Here is a 25,152-nt window from a genome sequence, read left to right as displayed (position 1 = left end):
AGCACTTTGGGAGGCCGAGGTGGGTGGATCATTTGAGGTCAGGAGTTCGAGATCAGCCTGGCTAATATGGTGAAACTCCATCTCTACTAAAAATACAAAAATTAGCCAGGCATGATGGCGCACGCCTCCCAGATCCTCAGGAGGCTGAGGCAGGAGAATCACTTGAACCTGGGACATGGAGGTTGCAGTGAGCTGAGATGGTGCCACTGCACTCCAGCCTGGGTGACAGAGTGAGACTCGGTCTCAAAAAAAAAAAAAAAAGAAAAAAAGATTGCTGTTGGTAGAAAAACCCTGTATAACATTTACAACAAAAGCAGGTGACAAGGTATCTACCTAAATTCCACAATACAAACAGTTAAGGACAAACAACAAACCAACAGCCATGAAATCTGCACAGTATCAGCATCTGTGTAGGGGAGGGCAGGGCTTCCCAAGAATAGGGTACTTAGGATCCCCTAAGTAGCCAATAGTGTGTGAGTACAGGGGGCCCCCAGGAAGGTTGGAAGAGGCAGGAGCAGTCTAACCCCTGTGTACTCTCGAAACTGATCTGACAAGGCTCTCTTCCAGGACAGGCTCCCATGCAGATGGAACTGTTGGGAATGGCATCAAAATTATCCAGGATACAGGGACAATCATGACAAAGAGGGAATAGGAACAGAGTCAGAAATTTAAGGAAGAAAGCCACATGCTTCAATATGCAAGATTTTCAACATGCAAGAGGGAGCTTTTTGAAACTAGAAAATCTACTTTCTTTCTAAAGACACATCTTCTAAACATTTAGGAAAACTAATGTCACCCTATATAACAAAGAGAGTTTCTCTGAAAGAAAATAATGTTTATTCAGGAATAGGGTATTGCTGTAGGCATATATGTGCCATAGGAAACGATGTGCATATTCAGGAAGGTAAAGGCAGACAAAGGGTTTTAAAGGAAAATTGGGGAAGATTACGTAATTGTTTTGAAATGATTATCCTTGGCTATAGCGATCAGTAACAAGAGTCCAAGGTTGGACTGGACAGGTGTCCCTGCAGAAGTATTAATATTTCCTGCATAAGGTCGCAATGGCCTTTATGCAAGGTTGTGGCTTTTGTAGTTCTTTGTGATTGTTTTGCTATCAGGCATACAAGTGTGAGAGTTCTCTGTTCATAGCTTTCCTTGGCTCTATTTGTCAGCATTTTTTAAACATGACTACATTTTGATTCTGACCACTATTACACTAATTTTATATTAGAATGAACAATAGAAGTTTCAAGGTGATTATAAGAATAAAGAGAATAAAGAGCAGAGTAACATCAGCATTGATAGTGAATGTACCCTAGAAAGACATGCTCATAGGATACAGTTGACCCTTGAGCAACATGGATTTGAAATGTACGAGTCCACTTAAAGAAACTTACAGTCAGTTTCTTTAAAAAAAAAAAAAAAATAGAGACAGGGTCTCACTGTATTCCCCAAGCTGGACTTGAACTCCTGGGCTCAAGCAATCTTCCCACCTTAGCCTCCTAAGTAGGTGGGACTACTACCTACTTGGAGGACCATTTTTTGGAGAAGCTGCCACTGCAGCTATACCATCAGGTGTGAAAACCTTGCACTTTTTTGTGAAATACTTTTACCTTTTTTTTTCTTTTTTTTTTTTTTAAGAGACAGGATCTCACTTTGTCGTCCAGGCTAAAGTGCAATGGCGTGATCATAGCTCATGGTAACCTTAAACTCCTGGGCTTAAGGGATCCTCCTGCCTCAACCTCCCAGGTAACTAGGACTACAGGTGCATGCCACCACGCTGGCTAATTTTAAAAAAAAGATTTGTAGAGATGGGGTCTTGCTCTGTTGTCCAAGCTGGTCTCCAACTCCTGGGCTCAAGTGGTCCTCCTGAGTTGGCCTTCTGAGTCATTGGGATTACAAGTGTGAGCCACCAAGCCTAGCCTGCAAAATACCTTTTTTGTCTTGTATTGAAAATGCAGCTTTTATGTGGGCACAGGATGGCTATAAGAAAGGCAGACCTGTAGACTCTAATATGATTTGAGAAAAATCAAAGCTATTATATGACAACTTAAAGCAAAAGGAAGGTAAAAGATCTAAAACTGGATAATTTAATTCCAGCAAAAGATGGTTTGATAATTTTAGAAAAAAGTTTGGCTTTAAAAATGTCCAGATAACAGGAGAAGCAGCTTCTTCTGACCAAGAGGCAGAAGATAAATTCCAAGATGTCATTAACAAAATGAGAAGAAAAAGGATATCTACCTGAACAAGTTTTATGGCAGACAAAAGTGACCTATTCTGGAAAAAAAAAAAAAAAAGCCACAAAAAGGCCAGGCGCAGTGGCTCACACCTGTAATCCCAGCACTTTGGGAGGCTGAGGCGGGTGGATCACCTGAGGTCAGGAGTTCAAGACCAGCCTGGCCAACATGGTGAAACCCTGTCTCTACTGAAAATATAAAATTTAGCTGGGAGTGATGGCAGGTGCCTGTAATCCCAGCTACTTGGGAGACTGAGGCAGGAGAATCACTTGAACTCGGGAGGCAGAGGTTGCAGTGAGCCGAGATCACGCCACTGCACTCCAGCCTAGGAGACAGAGTAAGACTCTTGTCTCAAAAAAAAAAAAAAAAAAAGCCACAAAAGACATTTATTAGTAAGAGAAGCAAGCACTATCATTTAAGGCAGGAAGGAATAGGCTAACTGTACTGTTGTGTGCCAATGCAGTTGGGTTTATGATCCAGACTGCTCCTAACCATAAAGCTGCTAACCTAAACACCAACTGCCAGCCTTTTGGTTGTACAAAAAGGCCTGGACAATGAGAACCCTTTTTCTAGATTGGTTACATCAATACATTCTCCCTGAAGTTAGGAAGTACCTTGCCAGTAAGGGACTACCTTTTAAAAAGTTCTTTTGATATTGAACAATGATGCCCCTGGCCACCAGAACACCATGAGTTCAACACCAAAGGCATCAAAGTGGTCTACTAGTCCCCAAACACAACATGTCTAATTCAGCCTCTAGTCAGGGGGTCATAAGGACCTTTAAGGCTGATTACACATGGTACTCTATGGAAAGGATTGTCAACATTATGGAAGAGAACCCCAATAGAAAGAACGTCATGAAAGTCTGGAAGGATTATACCATTCAAGATGCTATTGTCGTTATAGAAAAAGCCATGAAAGCCATCAAGCTCAAAACAAGTTTCCGCTGGAGAAAATTGTGCCCAGATGTTGTGCTTGACTTCACGGGATTTATGACAGAGCCCATCAAGGAAATCATCAAAGAGATTTGTGGATATGGCAAAAAAGATGAGGGGTGAACGTTGTCAAGATATGGATCTTGGAGAAATTCAAGGCCTAATATATACCACAGCAGAGGCATTCAAAGATGAGTTGATAGAGATGAGTGCCTCCGAACCAGTGCCAGATCATGAGGAAGAAGACGTAGAAGGAGCAGTGTCAGGAAACAAACTGACACTAGACAATCTGGCGGAAGGGTTCCAGTTACTCAAGACTACTTTTGACTTCTTTTACAACATAGACCCTTTTATGATAAGAGCAATGAAACTAAAGCAAAGAGTGGAATAAGGATTGATACTGTATGGAAACATTGCTAGAGAAATGAAAAAGCAAAAAGTCAAACAAATTATAATGTATTTCCGTAAAGTTAACACTGAGTGTGACCACCTTTCCTGCCTCCCCTTCTACCTCGTCCACCTCTCTGCCTCTGCCACCCTGAGACAGCAAGACCAACTCCTTCTCTTCCTCCTCCTCAGCCTACTCAGTGTGACAAGGATGAAGACTGTTATGATGATCCACTTCCACTTAATGAATAGTAGATATATTTTCTCTTCCTTATGATTTTCTTTATAACATTTTATTTTCTCTAGCTTATTTTATTGTAAGGATACAGTATACAATACATGTAACACACCAAATATATGTAATCGACTATTTATGTTATTGATAAGGCATCTAGTCCATTGCAGACTATTAGTAGTTAAGTCACTGGGGAGTCAAAAGTTATATGTGGATTTTTGACTGCTCCGAGGGGTTGGTGTCCCTAACCCCCCGCATTGTTTAAGGGTCAACTGTAGATCAAAACTGTAACAGTCTATATCAAAATAAGCTAAAAGAAGCCTGGGCAACATGGCAAACCCCATCTCTACAAAAAATACAAAAATTAGCTGGGCATAGTGGCACACACCTGTAATCCTAGCTACCTGGGAGGCTGAGGTGGGAAGATTGCTTGAGCCTGGGAGGCAGAGGCTGCAGTGAGCCAAGATTGCACCACTGCACTCCAGCCTGGGCAACAGAGCAAGACCTTGTCTCAAAAAAAAAAAAAAAAAAAAAAAAAGCTAAAAGACATTAAGAAAATGATACAAGACATGAAAGAGCTCATAAATCAGAATTAGAAAAAAACATGATGCAACAGAGCTGAGGAAAGAAGGGCTGAGGAAAGCAATGAAAGAAAAATAATTTCAGAAGTGAGTAAACTACAAGGAACATAAGAGGAAATAAAAATACAACATATGTCCTAAAAGAAGTACAAGGTAGGCAGAGGAATTTTTTTGTTTGCTTTAATTTTTGTGGGTACATAGTAGGTGTGTATCTTTATGAGGTACCTGAGATATTTTGGTACAGGCAAGCAATGTGAAATTATCACATCATATAAAATAGGGTATCCATCTCCTCAAGCAGTTATTCTGTGTGTTACAATCCAATTATACACTTTTATTTTAAAAGGTACAATTATTATTGACTATAGTTGCCCTCTTGTTCTATCAAATACGAGGTCTTACTCATTTTTTCTTTTTTTTTGTGCCTATTAACCATCCTCACCACCCTCCTTTAACCCTCACTACCCTTCCCAGTTTCTGGTAACCATCCTTCTACTCTCGTCTCCATGATTTTATTTGTTTTGATTTTTAGATCTCACAAATAAATGAGAACATGTTATGTTTGTCTTTCTGTGCCTGGCTTATTTCACTTAGCATAATGACCTCCAGTCCCATCCATGTTGTTGCAAATGACTGGATCTCATTCTTTTTTATGGCTGAATAGTATTCCATTGTGTATATGTACCACATTTTCTTTATCCATTCTTCTGTTGATGGACACTTAGGTAGCTTCCAAATCTTGGCAATTGTAAACAGTGCTGCAACAAACATAGGAGTGCAGGTATCTCTTTGATATAATGATTTCCTTTCTTTTGGGTATATACCCAGCAGTGAGATTCCTGGATCATATGGTAGCTCTATTTTTAGTTTTTTGAGGAACCTCCAAACTGTTCTCCATAGTGGTTGCACATTAGTTTACATTCCCACCAACAGTGTACAAGGGTCCCTTTTTCTCCACATCCTTGCCAGCATTTGTTATTGCCTGTCTTTTGGATAAAAGCCATTTTAACTGGAGTGAGATATCTCGTTGTAGTTTGGGTTTACGTTTCTCTGATGATCAGTGGTGTTGAGCACCTTTTCATATGCCTGTTTGCCATTTGTATGTCTTCTTTTGAGAAATGTCTGTTCAAATCTTTTGCCCATTTTATAATCTGATTATTAGGTTTTTTCCTGTAGAGTTGTTTGAGCTCCTTATATATTCTGGTTATTAATCCCTCGTCAGATGGGTAGTTTGCAAATATTTTCTGTGGGTTTTTGTTTGTTTGTTTGTTTGTTTTGAGACAGAGTCTCACTCTGTCACCCAGGATAGAATGCAGTGGTGCCATCTCAGCTCACTGCAACCTCCGCTGCCTGGGTTCAAGCAATTCTCCTCCCTCAGCCTCCCAAATAGCTGGGATTAGAGGCGCACATAACTACACCTGGCTAATTTTTGTATTTTTAGTAGAGACAGGGTTTCACCATGTTGGCCAGGCTGGTCTTGAACTCCTGACCTCGTGATCCACCTGCCTCAGCCTCCCAAAGTGCTGGAATTACAGGTGTGAGCTACCACGCCCAGCCATGTCTTCACTTTGTTGTTTCCTTTGTTGTGCAGAATCTTTTTAACTTGATATGATCCCATTTGTCCAGAGAGTTTCCTCGATGTTTTCTTGTAGTAGTTTCATAGTTTGAGGGCTTAGATTTAAGTCTTTAATCCATTTTGATTTTATTTTTATATATGGTGAGAGGTAGGGGTCTAGTTTCACTCTTTTGCATATGGATATCCAGTTTTCCCAGCATTATTTATTGAAGTCTTTTCCTCAGCTTATGTTCTTGGCACCTTTGTTGAAAGTGAGTTCACTATGAGTTTGTGGATTTGTTTCTGGGTTCTCTATTGTGTTCTGATGGTCTATGTGTCTGTTTTTATGCCAGTATCATGCTGTTTTGGTTACTATAGCTCTGTAGTATAATTTGAAGTCAGGTAATGTGATTCCTTCCGTTTTGTTCTTTTTGCTTAAGATAGCTTTAGCTATTCGGGGTCTTTCATGGCTCCATGTAAATTTTAGGATTGTTTTTTCTATTTCCATGAAGAATGTCATTGGTAATTCCTTTTTAGAAGAAAACAGCTTTATTGAACAGGCAGTGTTACAGCTCCAGTGGTGTTATAGCTCTGTGACTGCTCCTGCAGAGCAGAGCTACCCTGTAGGCAGAGAGTAGCAGCTCAGGACAGTTTTACAGTCACATTTATACCCACTTTTAATTGCATGAGATTAAGGGGCAGTTTATGCAGGAAAGGGATAGTAACTTTTGGATCATTAGATGCCATGGAAAAGGCCAGTAACTCCCAGGTGTTGCCTCGGCAACAGTAGATTGACATGGCACATTGATGGACAGGTCTGATTGAAAGGTGCTTTCGCCCTGGCCCTATTTTAGCTAGTCCTCAATCTGATCCCCACCTCTGGAGTCCTCAATCTGAGCCCCACCTCTGGAGTCAAGTCCTGCCTCCTACCTCATTTTCCCCTCAGAAATTAGATCCTCCTCCTTAATATTAAGAGGGCTGCAGAAGGGTGAAGGCCAGTCTTCTGTAACTGCTTGCTGCTGAGCTCATGGCCATAGGCCCTGCCTAGCACTGGAGGAGTAAAAAAATCTCTGGATACCTGTTGTAACGGGCCCACAGGCAGGACACTTTCATTCTCCAGGTCAGTAGATGGGATAGGTTGGAAGCCTTGTGCCAGCATTGTTTTTTACCTGGAACTGTTGTAATCTAGAAAACACAAACTTTTACTAAGAGGTTAAATAAGCAAGGGCCAAAAATTGGAAACAAGAAGATAACTATCCAAGGTTCTATGAGAGGTAAAAACCAGGTGAGACTTGGGAAAGCACTTGATAATTGACCAGCTATAGTTGGGGTCAGTGCCCTGGTTATATCTGTGTAACCAGGTAGCTTGTTCATAGATCTTTTGAATGTTAATCTCAACTTGCCTAGAGTTGTTAAAATATGTGCAGCAGGTTTTATTAATAACTACACAGACTCCACCATGTTCAGCTAGTAAATAATCCAATGCTAGTCTGTTAATGAGAACTGCATTTGCCAAAGAGCCTAAGGACTCTTGAATTCCCTTTAATGCCTGACCTGTGTTGGTGGCTAAGGATTCTAGGGATTGAGTCAAGTTCATTAGAGTTGGCTCATGGTAGGCAAAGCTGCCCCGGGGTGCTGCTAGTCCTATCACTGCCAATTCCTGCCAGAATTACTCCTATTACTCACTTACTTCTGGTATTCTTGGGTGTTATGCGGTTATAGACAGTGACTCCTGGAGGGGCAAGAGTGGCCAGCATACATTCACCTCTGTTCCAAGTTTTTGATATACAAGGGAAAGCTACTCCTAAGGGAAAAGGTGACTTCCTAGGGAGTTGGGAGCAGTTCAGGTTGTAACTTCTTCCCATTCATGCCACAAACAAAAATGAGCCGGTTGGGGCACAAACAGAAGCCCTATTGGGATGTGGTATTTATGCTTTACTGTGAAATTGTGTCTAGAGAGATATTTTTCCCCTGTTCCGATGGGGGTGGCGGGACACCCTTTGTTTTCTGGAAGGGGGCAGTACTCCCACCTTCCCAGACTAGGCAGTTGTTTTTCCCTTATATGTTCTGATCCAGAAGGCACCATATGTGGTCTCCTCACTTACAAGTAGAATCCCATTTACCTTGCTGTGGCCTTGGGAATGTGGCAACTAAAGTTGAATCAGAGCATCACAGGGAGGCTTCCACTCTTGTGTCATGAACACAACAGTGAATGCAAAAGATAGAATCATTAGTGCGCTAGAGATATAGATACCCAATTTCCCAGGTCCAGGTAATGTTGGCAGGGGGTTCAAGTGGAATCCGTTAAGTGGGGGAGAGTTCCATTCAACAAGTAGGAGTTTGGGATTTGAAGATCACTATTTTAGGAGGTCAGCGGGGATGGTAGTGAGGTTTCTTAGGTAAGCCAGAAGACAGAACTCTCTATCCTGGGAATGTTCATGACAATCCAGCAGCCATGAAGATGATTCCCTGATGCAATACTTGTCGAAATATTTATTATAGAGTTGTGTTCCCACCCATACTGGACCAAGGTGATTAGGAGAGCAAACAGGATGAACAGTGACAACATGGTGTTCCGTTGGGCCTTAGCATGGCCTCTACACCCAACAAGGACAAAAGAGGTGTTTCCCAGGAGCTTGGCTAAAGCTACAGAAAATAAGTATTATAATCAGGAAGAAGAAAAATATTAAAGCTCCAGCAGAAATGGTGCCAACTGATCTTCCACATGGGACACGGGTGAAGATCTCTCCAGGATACCTCAGCTGCGATGGGCTCAGCGAGGCTGCCTCAGTGGGAGGGGCTTGCATCAGGTGGTAATCCATGGGTCTGCTGGTCAGAGAAGCGGGCCCTACACGAGGCAGATGGCACTATGGCCACCCTGCTAGTGGGCTGTCATTGGTATTTTGATAGAGATTGCATTGACTCTAGATTGCTTTGGATAGTATGGACATTTTAAATAATATTGATTCTTCTAGCCTATGAACATGAAATAGCTTTCCATTTTTGGGGCATCCTCTTCAGTTTCTTTCATCAGTGTTGTATAGTTTTCATTGTAGAGATTTTTCACTTTGGTTAATTCCTATTAATTTAGTTTTATTTGTAAATGGGTTTACTTTTTAGATTTCTTTTTCAGATTGTTCAGTGTTGGCATATAGAAATGCTATTGATTTTTGTATGTTTTTGTATCTTGCAACTTTACTAAATTTATTTATCAGTTCTAATAGACTTTTGTGTGGAGTCTGTAGGTTTTTCTAAATATGAGATCATGTAATCTATAAACAAGGATAATTTGACCTCTTTCTTTTTTTTTTTTGAGATGGAGTCTCACGACACTGTCGCCCAGGCTGGGGTGCAGTGGCGTGATCTCAGCTCACTGCAACCTCTGCCTCCTGGGTTCAAGTGATTCTCCTGCCTCAGCCTCCTGAGTAGCTGGGATTACAGGCACCTGCCGCCCTGCCTGGCTAATTTTTTTGTATTTTTAATAGAGATGGGGTTTCACCATGTTGGCCAGGCTTGTCTGGAACTCCTGACCTCAAGTGATCCGCCTGCCTTGGCCTTCCAAAGTGCTGGGATTACAGGCGTGAGCCACCGCACCTGACCTGACCTCTTTCTTTCCAATTTGGACCCCCTTTATTTCTTTCTCTTGTCTGGTTGCTCTAGCTACATAGTACTAGGAGAACTATACCCAGTCTTTTGAGGGTTTTTAATCATGAAGGGATGTGAATTTTATCAAATGCTTTTTCAGCATTAATTGAAATGATCATATGGTTTTTATCCTTCATTTTGTCGATATCACATTGATTGATTTGCATACATTGAACCATCCTTGCATCTCAAGGATAAGTCCTGCTTGGTCATGATGAATGGCCCTTTTAATGTATTGTTGAATTTGGTTTGTAAGTATTTTGTTGAGGACTTTTGCATCAGTATTCATCAGAGGTAGTGGCCTGTAGTTTTCTTTTTATGATGTGCCTTTGTCTGGTTTTGGTATTCAGGGTAATACTGGCCTTGTAAAATGAGTTTAGAAGTATTCCCTCAGGAGGAGGAAATTTTTTTAAACCAAAAGTAAATGAAGAAAGGTAAAAATTATTTACAGGAAAGTGACAAATATTAAAGAAAGAGGAGATTTAACATTTAGATGATACGTATCTCTAAGGAATTAAATTAATGCAGGGGAACAGAATGAATGCTAAGACTATAATTAAAGAAAACTTCCCTAAAATATAAAAAGGATTTGAGGTTCTATATCTTATTTTAGGTGGTGGTTATACAGCATCAAACTGATCATCAAATATGTATTTATTAAATTTTAATAAAATGCATATATCTTAGATGTTTGATGCATTTTGACAATTGTGTATACCTCAAGCATATGTTTATACCGTAAGTAAAAATATTTATATATCTCAAGTGAAAATGTTTATACCTCAAATAAAAGTATCTAAAAAATTGAAACCACTTATTGAAAATGCATACCATGAACCTGACAATTTGAAGCAGAACAACCAACACCAAGACATATTTTCCTAACATTATTGGACATTGAAGAAAAATTATTTGGGCATCTAGGGAAAAAGAGCAAGTGATTTATAAGGGAAAGAAAATTAGATTATCATATTCTTTGACAGCAACACTTTATGCCAGAAGAAAATGGAATAATATATTTATGAACTCAAGCAAAGGAAATGTGAGCAAGGATTTTATATCCAGTCAAACTGATGTTAAATTATAAAGGGCACACAGGTTTATCAACATGCAAGACTTCAGGGAATAGTGTTGCCATGAGCCCTTTCTGCAGAATCTCCTGTAGAATGAATTTCACACAACCAAATATTAATAATAAGAGAGACCTTGACACACAACTGGTGGTGAGCATTAATCATATTATTATTTGTGAATTTATTATATTCAGTGAGGAGTACGCCAGGTGTGGCAGCATGCACCTTTAGTCCCACCTACTTGGGAGGCTGAGGCAGGAGAATTGCTTGAGCCCAGAAGCTTGAGACCAGCCTGGGCAACATAGCAAGACCCCATCTCAAAGGGTGAGAGTATGCTGTATGATGATATGCTTGGGCAGTGGAGACAAAGTCTATTTAAAAAATAGAAGAAAATGAATATATACAAGTTTTATTTTTTAACTATTCTCAGTAAAGTACACTGGTGATGGTATTATTAGTATTGTTATTTTGAGACTGTTGTATATGTAATGTGGGATAAAGTCATTGAGTAATTATGGAATATAAAAATTTCATCATTTTGTTTGTCCTTGAGAATCAGGATTCTCAATGTGGAAGAAAGAAGATAGAGATGAAATGTAATAGAGGCTAATAAGAATATTCCATAGTCCTGGCCGGGCGCGGTGCCTATAATCCCAGCACCTTGGGAGGCCGAGGCGGGCAGATCACGAGGTCAGGAGATCGAGACCATCCTGGCTAACACGGCAAAACCCCGTCTATACTAAAAATACAAAAAATTAGCCAGGCGCGGTGGCGGGCGCCTGTAGTCCCAGATACTCGGGAGGCTGAGGCAGGAGAATGGCGTGAACCCGGGAGGCAGAGCTTGCAGTGAGCCGAGATAGCGCCACTGCAGTCCGGCCTGGGCGAAAGAGCGAGACTCCATCTCAAGAAAAAAAAAAAAAAGAATATTCCATAGTCCTGAACATGACTTTAAACTCAAGAAGTATCAAATGTGTATATATATAGCTCTATCCACTGAAAAGGTCTATAAACAATGGCCACAACCCAGTAGCAATGTGTAGTCCTAGAATTTAGATTGTTGTTTTGAAATGTCATTTCTTACTTAAAGAAACCAGAGTCTCTGGGAGAAATGGCAGATGCCAGATCTCACGGGGGAAATCTACAAAATGAGCCTGGAACCTCATGTTCTATTAGATAGCAAAAGTGGCCTTTGTTGTACGATGCTGCAAAGTGTGGAGATTTCTTTTCTGAAAGATTACTGGGGTCATGTCAAAAGGCCTCAGGAGCCAATTTGAAGAGGGTCTCACTGACCAAAGATGGAGTAATTGGAGCTTCACAAACAATAATAATTGCAGTTGATCAAAACCCAACAAATATCTCAAATCTGTGAGTTTATAATGATATTATAAAATAAAGGCTAATGGGTTACCTTTGGAGGAATACTAGAAAATGAATTTATCATGAAAAGTGGTATGTATAGGGAAAGAATCAAGCACCACCTTTCCTATATGAACTGTACTAAATTGTAGGTAAGGGGAGAAACATCTCTTTATAAAAGTATTGCCACTGATAAATGAAAAGGAAATAATAGAATTGGAATGTCACCATTTTGCTGCCCCCAGTGAAATAATGGATCTAAGCATTTGCTGCATCAATCTACTAATTTCACAAAAACAGAGACAACCAGACATGATGAGGCTTCTGTTGAAAGAACACACTACCAAAGAATATGAGTCTGACTAAGCCTCTGGACTCAGCTGCCGATTTGCAAGAAATACAGTCAGTTCTGTTGTATTGCGACATATGTGTTCCTAAAAAATCTCCACACTTTGGCCAGACATGGTGGCTCATGCCTGTAATCCCAGCACTGTGGGAGACTGAAGTGGGAGGATTGCTTGAGCCCAGGAGTTCAAAACCAGCCAGGGTAACATAACGAGATCCCATCTCTTAAAAAAAAAAAAAAAATTAGCTGGGCGTGGTGGCATGCACCTGTGGTCCTAGCTACTTGGGAGGTTGAGGTAGGAGGATCTCGAGCTGGGGAGGTCCAAGGCTGCAGTGAGCCATGATCATCATGATCATGGAGCCATGATGGACTCCATCCTGGGTGACAGACTGAGACCCTGCCTCAAAAAACAAAACACAAACCAAAAAAATCTACACTTTGCAGCATTGTACAACAAAAACCACTGAGTTTATTGTGAAAATGAGGTTTAAGAAAAACTTTCTTGATGGCATTAAAAAACAGGATAGTAGCCCAAAAAACCCAGCAATACAGTTTTACATATGTTAAATGGTCACGAAACATACATACCTTGCAAAAGACCTGAAGTTCATGAAGGTGGGTATGGAAAGAGTTGCAGCTTTTGAGCAATTTTGAAGTGGCGGAAGGAGGGTTTTCTGCAATCAGAACCCTAGGTGTGGGTGGGAGAGGCTCAGAACAGCTCCAGGGTAGCTGGTAGATATCTGAGGTGTGTGTGTTCCTATGTGGCTCCATGTAGCTGAATGCAGTTTTCATTTCCCTAGTGTTTCTCATGGTGGAAGAATGTAAGTGGGGGCGAAATCCATAATGTACAAGGCTTTCCCTAATATATCCATCAAGTTGAAGCAAATGTGCATTTTCAAAACAAGTATTATAGCAGAACTGACAGGACAGAGGACAGAGCAACATGCTGGACTGTACCATGTGTGCAATCAACAGACTCCAGACTGGGAGAAATTCTCGAGGTTAAACAGCTCAGGTTCATTAGTAATAGATAAATGTAAGGAAAAGAAAGGGATGGAGGTAAGAACCTGCAGATTAAAAGAAGCTTAAAAGCATAACCAATTTTTTTTAAATGGGAAAGACTAAACTATAGTGCTTAGGAATGCATATTTGGATGTTAAAACTATAAGGAAACATTAAGTGCATGGTTATATAAAAGTCGGGGGAATGATTCCTTTTGGGTGAGAGAGGGGCTTGACAAGGAACTTTGGGCAGAAGCCAGCAAAGTTTCTTTTCTTGGCCTGAGTGGTAGTTAAAAGGGTATATGCCTTATGATAACTTTATACATTAGTTTTCTGTGGCTTTTTGTGTCTATATTTGAATAAAATGAAAAGGTTATGAAAAGATATCTTTTTTTTTTTCCTTTTTTGAGACGGAGTCTCTCTGTCACCCATGCTGGAGTGCAATGGCGTGATCTCGGCTCACTGCAACCTCCACCTCCCAGGTTCAAGTGATTCTCCTGCCTCAGCCTCCTGAGCAGCTGGGATTACAGGTGCGTGTCACCATGCTCAGCTAATTTTTTTGTATTTTTAGTAGAGACGGGGTTTCACTGTGGTGGTCAGGCTGGTCTCAAACTCCTGACCCCGTGATCTGCCCACCTCGGCCTCCCAAAGTTACAGACGAGAGCCACTGCACCCGGCCGAAAAGATATCTTTATTGAATCGATGGCCAAAGTGAAAGGGAAAAAGTAATAGCTACTTTCCTTCTGAATTCCTGCAGACAGCTCTATCAAATGAAAACATGCAAGTGACACCATTCCTTTAGTCATTCATAAAATACTAAACTCCAAAGTAGGTGCTCACATGGTGCTAGGGCCTGTGGCAACAAAGATGGTATAACCGAGTTTCTACTCGGAAGGCTTGTAGTAGTTTTGTGCAGACAGATGTTAAAACAGATCAACTACAGGTGCTGTGCCAGTTGCTGTTAGAGAGGAGGGAACTGAGTGCTGTGGGAAAAGAAAGAATAGCTGCCTGGAGAGTTGGGTGCGGCAGCACAGAGAAGCTTTGAGTTGGGTCTGCAGCAACACGTTGCAGATGGAGAAAGGACTCTCCTGGCCCCAATCCCTGATGAGAATCCACTGTACCTCTCCACCCCACAGCCATTATCAGAGCACCCAAATGCTTTGTGCTCGGAGGCACAGCCTCAGATGGAACGTGGGCCTCCTGTCCAGTAGGAGACTGATCTGTTCACTCATCTCCTTGCCTGACCTCCTAGACACCCCTGAGTCTCTGCTGATTATCCCTCACCCCATCCTTAGACTGTTGTAGTATCTGCTCTCCAGATAGAATCTTTGCTGTCCTCACTGTGCCCATGGAGTCCCAGTGCATTCAGTGAAGTTTTTATTATTCGGTTGGTCTGGTAGGACAAAATTAGAAAAAATCCAGGAAGCAATCAAGTGGGAAGAAGAGATGTTCCAGAAGGAAAGATGAGTAACTGTGAAAGCGAGAGCACAGCTAGTCCTCAGAACAGCTAAGGCATGGGTCTTTCTCCCTCATCCCTTCACCTGCCTGGGAATGTGAATGCAGCAGCCAGCCAGTCCTTCCTCCACATTTCTCTCATGGGTTCCTACTTCCATGAGATGCAGAATTAAAACTGGGGCTGTGAAAAACTGCAACCACAAAACTCACTTTTGTTAAGCTTAACACAAAAATAATGCAATAAGTAATGTATCATTTAATTAGATTATCATTTTATAAACGAATTAATTTTTTTTTAACCTAGGGAAAGTCTGTTTTGCTTTGTTTTGAATCACAACTTTTAAAGTCCTAAATAAATAGGCTCTTTCTACTTAGGCAAGTTTCAGCTATTGGTTTCTGTGTAGGTTGTTCCCACACATACTTTATCCCTGGCAGAAGCACTCAGGAGAAAATAGGCTTGAATCAAACCTATTTACTGACCAGTGGCCTCACTCCTCACCAAACAAAGAGGACAGAAATTCCTCTATGGGGGCTTTCACTCTGTTTAAACCTAAAGAGGCTCAGCCCCCTTCAGCAGTGCTGTTTACTGCCAAAGGGTGCATTTTGATATCATGGAAGTATAAAGCAACTTAATGTTTTAAGTGTTAAATGAAATGTACCAAAAATTTACTATTAGAAAAAAAATCAGGGAAATTTATGTTGGTAAATAATTTTTTTAAAAAAAATTAGAGCTAGCCAGGTGTGGTAGCACACACCTGTAGTCCCAGCTACTCAGGAGGTTGAGGCAGGAGGCCTTGAGCCCAGGAGTTCAAGACTAGTCTGAACAACTAGCAAGATGCCTTCTCTAAAAAAATTTAATTTAATTTAAATTTAAATTATAGCTCTTTAATTTTAGAGCTTTATGGAAGCTTGAAAAGAAGTGTAAAGAGGCAGAAGGAAAGCAGAGGGGTTGGAAAGATCGAGAAATACCGAGGTGAGCAGACGATTAAAGAGTGAGTCAGAGAGACACGGCAGAACAAAATAACACGTAAATTACCCTTGTCTTGTAATACTTTATGTCTGCAAAGCTAGTTAGAGTTAATATTTAAAACGGTTCTTTCTTACACATCATTTTATTTGATGCATACAAGATCATGCCAAGTAGGCCAGTTACGGCATGACCACTGAGCGATTTCCGTAGGCCCTGGCATTACTGCCTGGCTGGAAGCAGCATAGCCTCGGGTTCTTAAGATTCACATACACATTCTGGACTTAGAGAATCCACACACAGTCGTTTAGTTTTCACACTTTTTTTCAGGTCCATACATTTTTAAGTTTCTAAGTCAGGGACTACCTGCACCTTTTAAAAATATAATTTATTCTGTCCCTTTATAGCAATGGTTCTCAAATTGTCTCTAAGGATTTCCATGCTGTCCTAAATAAATGTGTTCAGGAGATGAGAGGGCTCTAGGCACTTTTTTTTTTTCTTGAGACCGAGTCTTTCTCTGTCATCCAGGCTGGAGTGCATTGGCGCAATCTCAGTTCACTGCAACCTCCGCCTCCTGGGTTCAAGCGATTCTTGTGCCTAAGCCTCCTAAGTGGCTGGGATTACAGGCATGCACCACCACACCCAGCTAATTTTTGTGTTTTTAGTGGAGACGGGGTTTTGCCATGTTGGCCAGACTGGTCTCGAACTCCTGGCCTCAAGCGACCCACCCACCTTGGCCTCCCAAAGTGCTGGGATTACAGGCATGAGGCACTGTGCCTGGCTGCTCTAGGCACTTTTTGCACTGTTTTATACATGGGTTTTCACATAGGTAGCAGTTTCTTTGATAGGTATTATGATTAACTGCTTTAAAATTATCCCACAATCACAGAATTTTTTATAAAAATGTTACAACTCATCAATTTTCTTTCCCAATTTTTAAAGAATTTAAGAAAAATAAATCAGAATATGTAAAAGCAATGACAAATACCATTCTGTTAAAACTCTCTGAATCTGGGCCGGGCGCGGTGGCTCACGCCTGTAATCCCAGCACTTTGGGAGGCCGAGGCGGGTAGATCACGAGGTCACGAGATAGAGACCATCCTAGCAAACACGGTGAAACCCTGTTTCCACTAAAAATACAAAAAATTAGCCGGGCGTGGTGGTGGGCGCTTGTAGTTCCAGCTACTAAGGGAGGCTGAGGCAGGAGAATGGCATGAACCCGAGGCGCAGCTTGCAGTGAACCAAGACCGCGCCACTGCACTCCAGCCTGGGCAACAGAGCGAGACTCCATCTCACAAAAAAAAAAAAGAAAAACTCTCTGAGTCTTTGCTGTGGGCAGATTTCCATTTCATGCAATTTTCTGTGAAATTATGAGTTTTTTTCTTTATTTCACTGAAATGAATAAGGAGCATCAGCGTAATTATATAGACTCATTTGTACAAACATGCCTCATCAGCATTTCATAAGGTTTCAGGGGTCTTTATTCAGTTTTCAACTTACCAGGCTGAAAGTAACTACCCAGATATGGCTTAATCACTTAGTTTGCTTAGTTTTGAAACTTAATAACAGCAGTTGCAGTTTAATAAAATCTTATAGACAGTTAATATTCATATTTCTCAGTTATTCTCAGAAATTTATGAAGTTATTGAATGAAAAAATTCACTGAATTTCTCATCCATTATTTCCTTCTGTGTATTTGAACTTGGAGGCAAAGCTGGGAATGGTACGTCTTCAAATTGGTAGCCTAATAATCACCATACAACTCTTTTTACTTCTAAATCTTACACTAAAAAAGCTATTGCTTTCCACAAAATCTTGGTCAATCCAAATAAGGTTTCAGATTAAAATTTATTTGAAGATTGGCCAGGCACGGTGGCTTACGCCTGTAATCCCAGCAGTTTGGGAGGCCGAGGCAGGCGGATCATGAGGTCAGGAGATTGAGACCATCCTGGCCAACACAGTGAAACCCTGTCTCTACTAAAAATACAAAAAAAAAAAAAAAAAAAAAAATTAGCCGGGCATGGTGGCGGGCGCCTGTAGTCCCAGCTACTCGGGAGGCTGAGGCAGGAGAATGGCGTGAACCCGGGAGGCGGAGCTTGCAGTGAGCTGAGATCGCACCACTGCACTCCAGCCTGGGCGACAGAGCGAGACTCCCTCTCAAAAAACAAAAAAAAAATTTTATTTGAAGATCACTAAAAATAAACAATTAATTTCCTTTCATCATCAACATTTTTAAACTACATGGAATGGGAAAGTACATGGAATGGAAATCTGCCCAAACATTTAGGGCCACATTTATGCCAATTAATGTGCTGAGAAGCCTGGAGCTAAAGCCATGAGGAGACAAGGTTCCTGCCTTCACCTACTAGAGAAGAAATGCCATGTAAACCAATAATTACATCGAGTGTTATAAGGACTGTCCAAGAACGATGTGTAAGATGCTTGGGGGGTTCGGGGGAAAGGTCAGGTCCACAAAAGACTTCTCAGAGGAGGTGTTTTTAATGAGTATGGTGGTAGTTTGAAAGAAATACCAAAACAGCACGAGAAAGTTTGCTGACCTTTATTCTTGATTAGAATACTGTATATATTTCCTTGTACATTATTAATTTTCTTAGCACACTTGTTTATGGTAAAGACAAACTAAAGCTGAATGTTCCAATAGTTCTAATAAGGTTTTACAGGTTTTTTTAAACAGCCCATTTGCATGTTTGAAAATAATTTGAAATGAATAGAATATTTACAATTTGGAATCCATTGATAAATATGATTGAGAGTGTTACCAAGGGTTCTATTTGTTCCTTATATGTTACAATAAATTGAGATAATAGAAATGTGCTAATGACCTACTGATTATTGTCTTTCCTAGATGAAAACTTTTCAGTTCCTCATAATAAAAGAGGAGTACTTGGAATGGCCAACAAAGGCCGTCACAGCAACGGGTCACAATTCTATATCACACTGCAAGCAACTCCTTATCTAGATAGAAAATTTGTGGCTTTTGGGTATGTATATTGTAGATCTATTTATATAATATTCACACCTGTAAAAATGTCATTTAAAAATATTTGGATAAGTATTGTATATAGTGTATAGGTAGCTAAAAATAGGGCTTAAATGCAAAAATAATACAAATAGAGACAAAAGTATTTAAGAAATATTTTGCAAGAAGTTTGCTATCTATAAAAACACAGAAACTGGCCAGACACAGTGGCTCAGGCATATAATCCCAGCACTTTTGGAGGCTGAGGTGGGAGATTGCTTGAGCCCAGGAGTTCAAGACCAGCCTGGGCAACATAGCGAGACCCCATCTCTACAAAAAGATTAAAAATTATCTGGCTTGGCATGGTGGCTCATGCCTGTAATCTCAGCACTTTGGCAGGCCAAGGCAGGTGAATTACTTAAGGCCAGGAGTTCCAGAGCAGCCTGCCCAACATGGTAAAACCCCGTCTCTACTAAAAATACAAAAATTAGTCAGGCATGATGGCATGTGCCTGTAATTCCAGCCACTCCGGAGGCTGAGGCAGGAGAATCACATGAACCTGGGAGGTGGTTGCAGTGAGCCAAGATCATGCCACTGCACTCCAGCCGGGGTGACACAGCAAGACTCTGTCTCAAAAATAAATAAATAGGCCGGGTGCAGTGGCTCACACCTGTAATCCCAGCACTTTGGGAGGCTGAGGCAGGCAGATCACTCGAGGGCAGAAGTTCCAGACCAGCCTGGCCAACATGGCGAAACCCCATCTCCACTAAAAATACAAAAAATTAGCCAGGCGTGGTGGCATGCACCTGTAGTCCCGGCTACTCGGGAGGCTGAGGCAGGATAATTGCTTGAACCCAGGAGGCAGAGGTTGCAGTGAGCCGAGATCGTGCCACTGCACTCCATCCTGGGCGACAGAGCAAGACTCTGTCTTAAATAAATAAATAAATAAATAAATAAATAAAAATTAGCTGGGTGTGGTGGTGTGTGCCTGTAGTCCCAGCTACTGAAGAAGTTTCGGTGGGAGGATTGCTTGAGCCTGGGAGCCATGATTGTGCCACTGCACTCCAGCCTGGGCAACAGAATGAGACCCTACCTCAAAAAATATATAAGACAAAATAAAAAAATAAAAACAGAAACCATTTAGGCATAGTCACAATAATGTTCTTTCTGTGTCTCTATCTATCCATCTATCAAATCTTCAGCCTTAAGGATATTATCAATTCTTTATTACTATGAATCATACCACAGTGCTTAATAATATACTAATATGTAGAAGTGAAGAGGTGAAGTCATTTCAATAATTGTCCATGGACATCATGAAGAGGTAGATGAAAACTATTCAAGTTACATATAACTTTTTTTACTGAACGATTTTAAATATGAAAACATCACAGGTAATAGTTATTATTAGAATATTATTAGCAAGATGCTTAAAGCCATGTGGACCTAAAATGGATGATAGAAATACTTTTCATCACTCCAGTGTTTCATCTCTCTCTTTAATTACTGAGTGAATATGAGGCAGGGCTTACTTCTTCTTCCCTGAGATAATGTAAAGTGTTTGTATTTTTCTGAATAACTGTTAGATTTATTCCACCCACTCCATAGGGATAATTATTGACTCTCCAGCACCTGGAATGTCATGCCAGTGTTCATTTTAACCACAGTAATTCCTTTAGTGTAATGCTTTCTGTGATACTTCCAGGTTGAAAAAATAGAAAGTGTATTTTCATCCATAGGATATCTTTAAAGAGATAACATTACATTAATAGATGCATAACGTAAAACAATGACTTGTCTTAAGTTTTCCCTGGTCCCCAATAAATTGTATTCTGATTTCGAAAATGCATTATTAAATTAGTTTTAAGGCTGGACGCGGTGGCTCACGCCTGTAATCCCAGCACTTTGGGAGGCCAAGGCGGGTAGATCATGAGGTCAGGAGTTCAAGACCATCCTGGCCAACATGGTGAAACCCCATCTCTCCTAAAAATACAAAAATTAGCTGGGCATGGTGGCACACACCTGTAGTCCCAGCTACTCAGGAGGCTGAGGCAGGAGAATTGCTTGAACCCAGCAGGGGGAGGTTGCAGTGAGCCGAGATCGCACCACTGCACTCCAGTCTGACGACAGGGTGAGACACCATTTAAAAAAAAAAAAAAAAGTTTTAAATCCAAATAACATTTCTTGAATCATTTAAATCCAAATAACATTTCTTGGACCATTTAAATCTCTGTCATGTTGCTGACAGTCTCTGTCCTCTACCAACTTCCTGGTGATCTTTTATATCTCAGCTAAAGGTACCTTTCTCAAACACAAACATGACTACTTTAAAACATTTAGTGCCTCCATTACCACCTCCACATCTGCACAGCCTGAAGTCTAGAGTGGCATTCCAGGTCCTCTGGCCCCACATCCTTTGTTCAGCCTTCACTTCTGCTGTTTTCCCAACTCATTCAAGCAGAATTTCTTTAGGCACCTGCAGTATGCCATTCATGGTACTCAGTGCTGGGGAAAAAGAGCGACAAGGTACAATCCCTGCTCTTCAGCGAGCTTAGAGTATGTTATGAAAACAAGGTCAAATAGCCAATAGCTATGTGACAGTGAGACATGGGCCATGCAAACTGTGTACAGGGTGCATTGGGAGATGGGTAAGAAAACACCCTCCAACTCCCTTCACCAAAGCGAACACAGAGCGTTACAGGGCGGCAATGGAGTGGAGAGCACTCGGTCTCCTTTTGATGGTTCCTGTTCTCTATGATCCACCTTCCTCTTGGAGAAATCTCTAATTTTTGTTATCACCACTCTGTCCTCAGGGAGGCACTGCCCTCCTTCTATTCTGCTATTCTGCCTCAAGTATGATCTCAGTGTATTCCTTAAATCTCCAAATTAAAAACAAAGTCTCCAAATCACAGTTGGGGCTGGGCTGGAATATTTAAATAAGACCTTACAGAGTGCTAAGGGAGAAGCAGAAATGTAAAACATAATAGGCAACTAGATAATCTAGTTAAACTAATGAAATAGAACTCCTTCAGGGATACCTTCCTTCCCAGTTGTAGGGCTGCCTCTTCCCTATCATCTCTCAGTATCCCCAGGTGTGTCTGAGCTTTTGGAAGCCCAGACATGGTTAGCAAGGTCCAGAGAGATAAAGAATATTCCTCTCTGATCCAAGACAGGCACTCCTTCCAAGCCCAGTTTCCAGGTACATGAACCTGCCGCTCTCTCAGATGGATGACACTGGGAATGTCCTTCAGGAAAGACTGTAGCAATCCACAGAGCATGGCTGGCCCAGTGGGCTCATAGGGAAAGAATATCACAAAACAAGCCTGTAAGCTCTCCATTCACGTGCACCCATTGTAGAAGGGGTTTGGGGGAGGGGGAATTATTTCATTTTAAGAGACTTGTAAGGTGGGAGGGGGTCATGGAAAGTTTCATGAGAAGGTGAGCTGAGGAGTGAAATGTCACGTAGAAGTTAGCCAGATAGAGAAGCTAGAAATCACAATGAGTCAAATCAGTTTTAGGAAGAGTGAAGAGGTTTCGCAGAGAGGCCCTGAGGAGTAAGAGAGCATCTTATCTACAAGTCATCTGTTCTGGGCAGAGCTTGGTACTTAGGGGAGAATGGAAAGGGTGGAGGCCGGATAAGAGGGTCAGCAAGGGTCCAACTCCCAATGGACTGCGGGTGCCATGCTGCTGAGCAGGAACCTCACGCAAAGGTGATGGGGGCCATGGGAGAATTTTACATTGTGAGCGACATAACCAGCTTCTCATTTTGAAGAAAAAATCTCTTTAGCAGAAGTGAGGAATGAATTGGCAAAGAATGAAAAGGAAGTAGCAAGACCACTTAAGAAGCTATGGTTATAACAGGCCATAAATGAAGTCCTGCTCTAAAGCATCAGCAGTACAGATGAGCAGGTGATAAGTGGACAAACTCAAGACATTGAGAAGTTAGAGTAGAGAAGCACTTTGGGAGTCCGAGGTGGGCCGATCACGAGGTCAAGCGATCGAGACCATCCTGGCTAACACGGTGAAACCTCATCTCTACTAAAAAAAATACAAAAAATTAGCCGGGCGTGGTGGCAGGCGCCTGTAGTCCCAGCTACTTGGGAGACTGAGGCAGAATGGTGTCAACCCGGGAGGCGGAGCTTGCAGTGAGCGGAGATCGCACCACTGCACTACAGACTTGGTGACAGGGTGAGACTCCGTCTCAGGAAAAAAAAAAAAAAAAAAAGAGATCGAGACCATCCTGGCCAACATGGTAAAACCCCGTCTCTACTAAAAATACAAAAAGTTAGCCACGCATGGTGGCAGATGCCTGTAATCCCGGCTGCTCGGGAGGCTGAGGCAGGAGAATCGCTTGAACCTGGGAGGCAGAGGTTGCAGTGAGCCGAGATTGCGCCACTGTACTCCAGCCTGGCGACAGAGTAAGACTGTCTCAAAAAAAAAAAAAAAAAAGAAGTTAGAGTCGGGGGTGAGGGCCTGAGAGGAGTCCAGGCCAGCACTGTCCAGTAGAACTCTCTGTGACGATGGAAATGTCCTGTATTCTGCACGGCCCAGTATGACAGCCACTGGCCACATGTGGCCACTGGGCACTTGAAATGTGGCTAGTGTGACTAAGGAACTATATTTAATTCTAATTAAGGGTTTTTTTTTTTTGAGACAGGGTCTCACTCTGTCACCCAGGCTGGAGTGCAGTGGTGCGATCTCAGCTCACTGCAACCTCTGCCTCCCGGGTTTAAGCAATTCTCATGCCTCCGCCACCCAAGTAGCTGGGATTATAGGCATGCACCACCATGCCCAGCTAATTTTTGTATTTTTAGTAGAGATGGGTTTTCCCCATGTTGGCCAAGCTAGTCTTGAACTCCTGACCTCAAGTGATCCACCCGCCTCAGCCTCCTAAAGTGCTGGGATTACAGGTGTGAGCCACTGCAACTCCCAGCCTATAATTAAGTTTAAATAGCGATATGTAGCTAGTGGCATCCATATTGGGCAGTGCAGGTCTAGAGTAACTCCTAGGATTTGGGAACTGGTTGGAGGGGTGGTACCATTCACCAAGATAGAGAATATAAGGAGGAGGATTTGGGAGAGAAAATCATGAGTTCAAGTTGGACAAGTTTCATATTAGGATACCTATAGGATAGCCAGTTGGTGGCATCCCAGGAGGTGGATATTCAAGCTGAGTCAGAGCTGGAAATGTAATTTGGAAACAATTTGTAGACTGGCAGCCAAGCTGCAACCAAACCATAGTACCATCACTCCAAGAACAGTCCCTGTGCCTTTGCTTATCTTGTCTTGTTGGAGAACAGGCTTCATACTCTCTTTGGACAGAAATGAATCTATTTATCCTCTGCCCTTCATCCTCAGAATGTTGTCCTGTGTCATGGTTTTTTATTGGGATGGCAAAAATAGAGCCCAAAGGCAAAGAGAGGGCTAGAGTACACTTGGTGTCGGCACTGACCATGCTCCTATAAAGGCTCATGAGATGGAAGTTGCACCCTTCCCCTCAGCCACTGTCCAAGCCCAAGCACTGACAGAGGGCACCAGTCCTATGTCTTGGCCTGTCTCTCTGCCCTTTTTTAATTGAAAGAACCATCAGAAGTCTAGCTCCACTCCCCAGGAAGTTCTAGCTCATGGCCAGCAATTGTCTACAGAGATGTAAACTAGCATGGCTTTTTTTTTTTTTTTTTTTTTTGAGATAAGTCTCGCTCTATGGCCCAGGCTGAGTGCAGTGGTGCAAACTCAGCTCACTGCAACCTCCACCTCCTGGGTTGAAGCAATTCTCCTGCCTCAGCCTCCTGAGCAGCTGGGATTACAGGTGTGCACCACCAAGCCCAGTTAATTTTTGGTATTTTATTAGAGACAGGGTTTCACCAGGTTGTCCCCAGGCTAGTCTCAAACTGCTGTGCTCAGGCAATCCAGCTGCCTTGGCCTCCCAAAGTGCTGGGATTACAGGCATGAGTCACCACATCCAGTCGAAACTAGCATGGCTTTGAGCTGTCTTTTATTCATCACTCAGTGGATGTTGTCAGGTGCCTGGTAGTGCCAGGCATTATGCTAGGCACTGAGCCTGAGCACAAGCATGATCCCTACCATCATGGGAGAATTAGAAATCAATCAAAGAAGCATACAAATAAATGTAAGGTTTCAACCCTGGGAACTTCTCTAAAGGAGCGACAGAGAACTTAATATAAGCAAGGTGGCCTGGGAAACTTCCCCCAAGGAGGTGATGACTGGGCTGAGGTCTGAAGGAAGACCAGGAGGTGACCATGCCAAAGGGTAGGGGTGGGGGAGTAATGCAGGAGCTGTGGAAGAAGGGAGTGTGGAGCTCTTGAGGTACTGAAAGCCAGTCTGGCTGTAGCAGAGAGCAACAGGAAGCATGTGGCCCGACCTCCCCGAGAGGCCGTG

The 25,152-nt window shown here is 41.9% G+C and overlaps 1 protein-coding gene across 12 annotated transcripts in view, besides 1 other annotated feature; it reads left to right on the top strand.

Annotated features, from left to right (window-relative positions):
• Positions 1-25,152, top strand: part of PPIL6 (peptidylprolyl isomerase like 6) — a 50,957-nt gene that overhangs the window by 22,362 nt on the left and 3,443 nt on the right. For 3 of the 12 annotated variants that reach the window (XM_047418674.1, XM_047418675.1, XM_011535769.3), the window contains one exon: positions 568-4,934. The exons of 1 other annotated variant lie outside the window; for it this stretch is intronic. In XM_047418674.1, coding sequence (XP_047274630.1) covers positions 568-638 — 71 coding nt within the window. In that variant the 3' untranslated portion in view covers positions 639-4,934. Of the gene's footprint in view, positions 1-567; positions 4,935-8,432; positions 10,386-13,761; positions 13,882-15,701; positions 15,780-18,639; positions 18,776-25,152 lie in introns of those variants that run through there. 8 more of the 12 variants (NM_001286360.1, NM_173672.5, XM_047418673.1 and 5 more) reach the window with 5 other exon arrangements.
• Positions 21,370-21,664: a silencer, noted in NCBI's record as "tiled region #15445; HepG2 Repressive non-DNase unmatched - State 13:Ctcf". NCBI's record gives its function as "represses a minimal TATA promoter and a strong SV40 promoter by Sharpr-MPRA in HepG2 cells {active_cell/tissue: HepG2}" and the evidence as "EXISTENCE:reporter gene assay evidence [ECO:0000049][PMID:27701403]".

Source organism: Homo sapiens, chromosome 6 (assembly GCF_000001405.40).
Source record: "Homo sapiens chromosome 6, GRCh38.p14 Primary Assembly".
NCBI lineage: Eukaryota > Metazoa > Chordata > Mammalia > Primates > Hominidae > Homo > Homo sapiens.
Note: the sequence above shows the minus strand (reverse complement) of the source record. Positions and strands in the feature narration are given on the sequence as shown.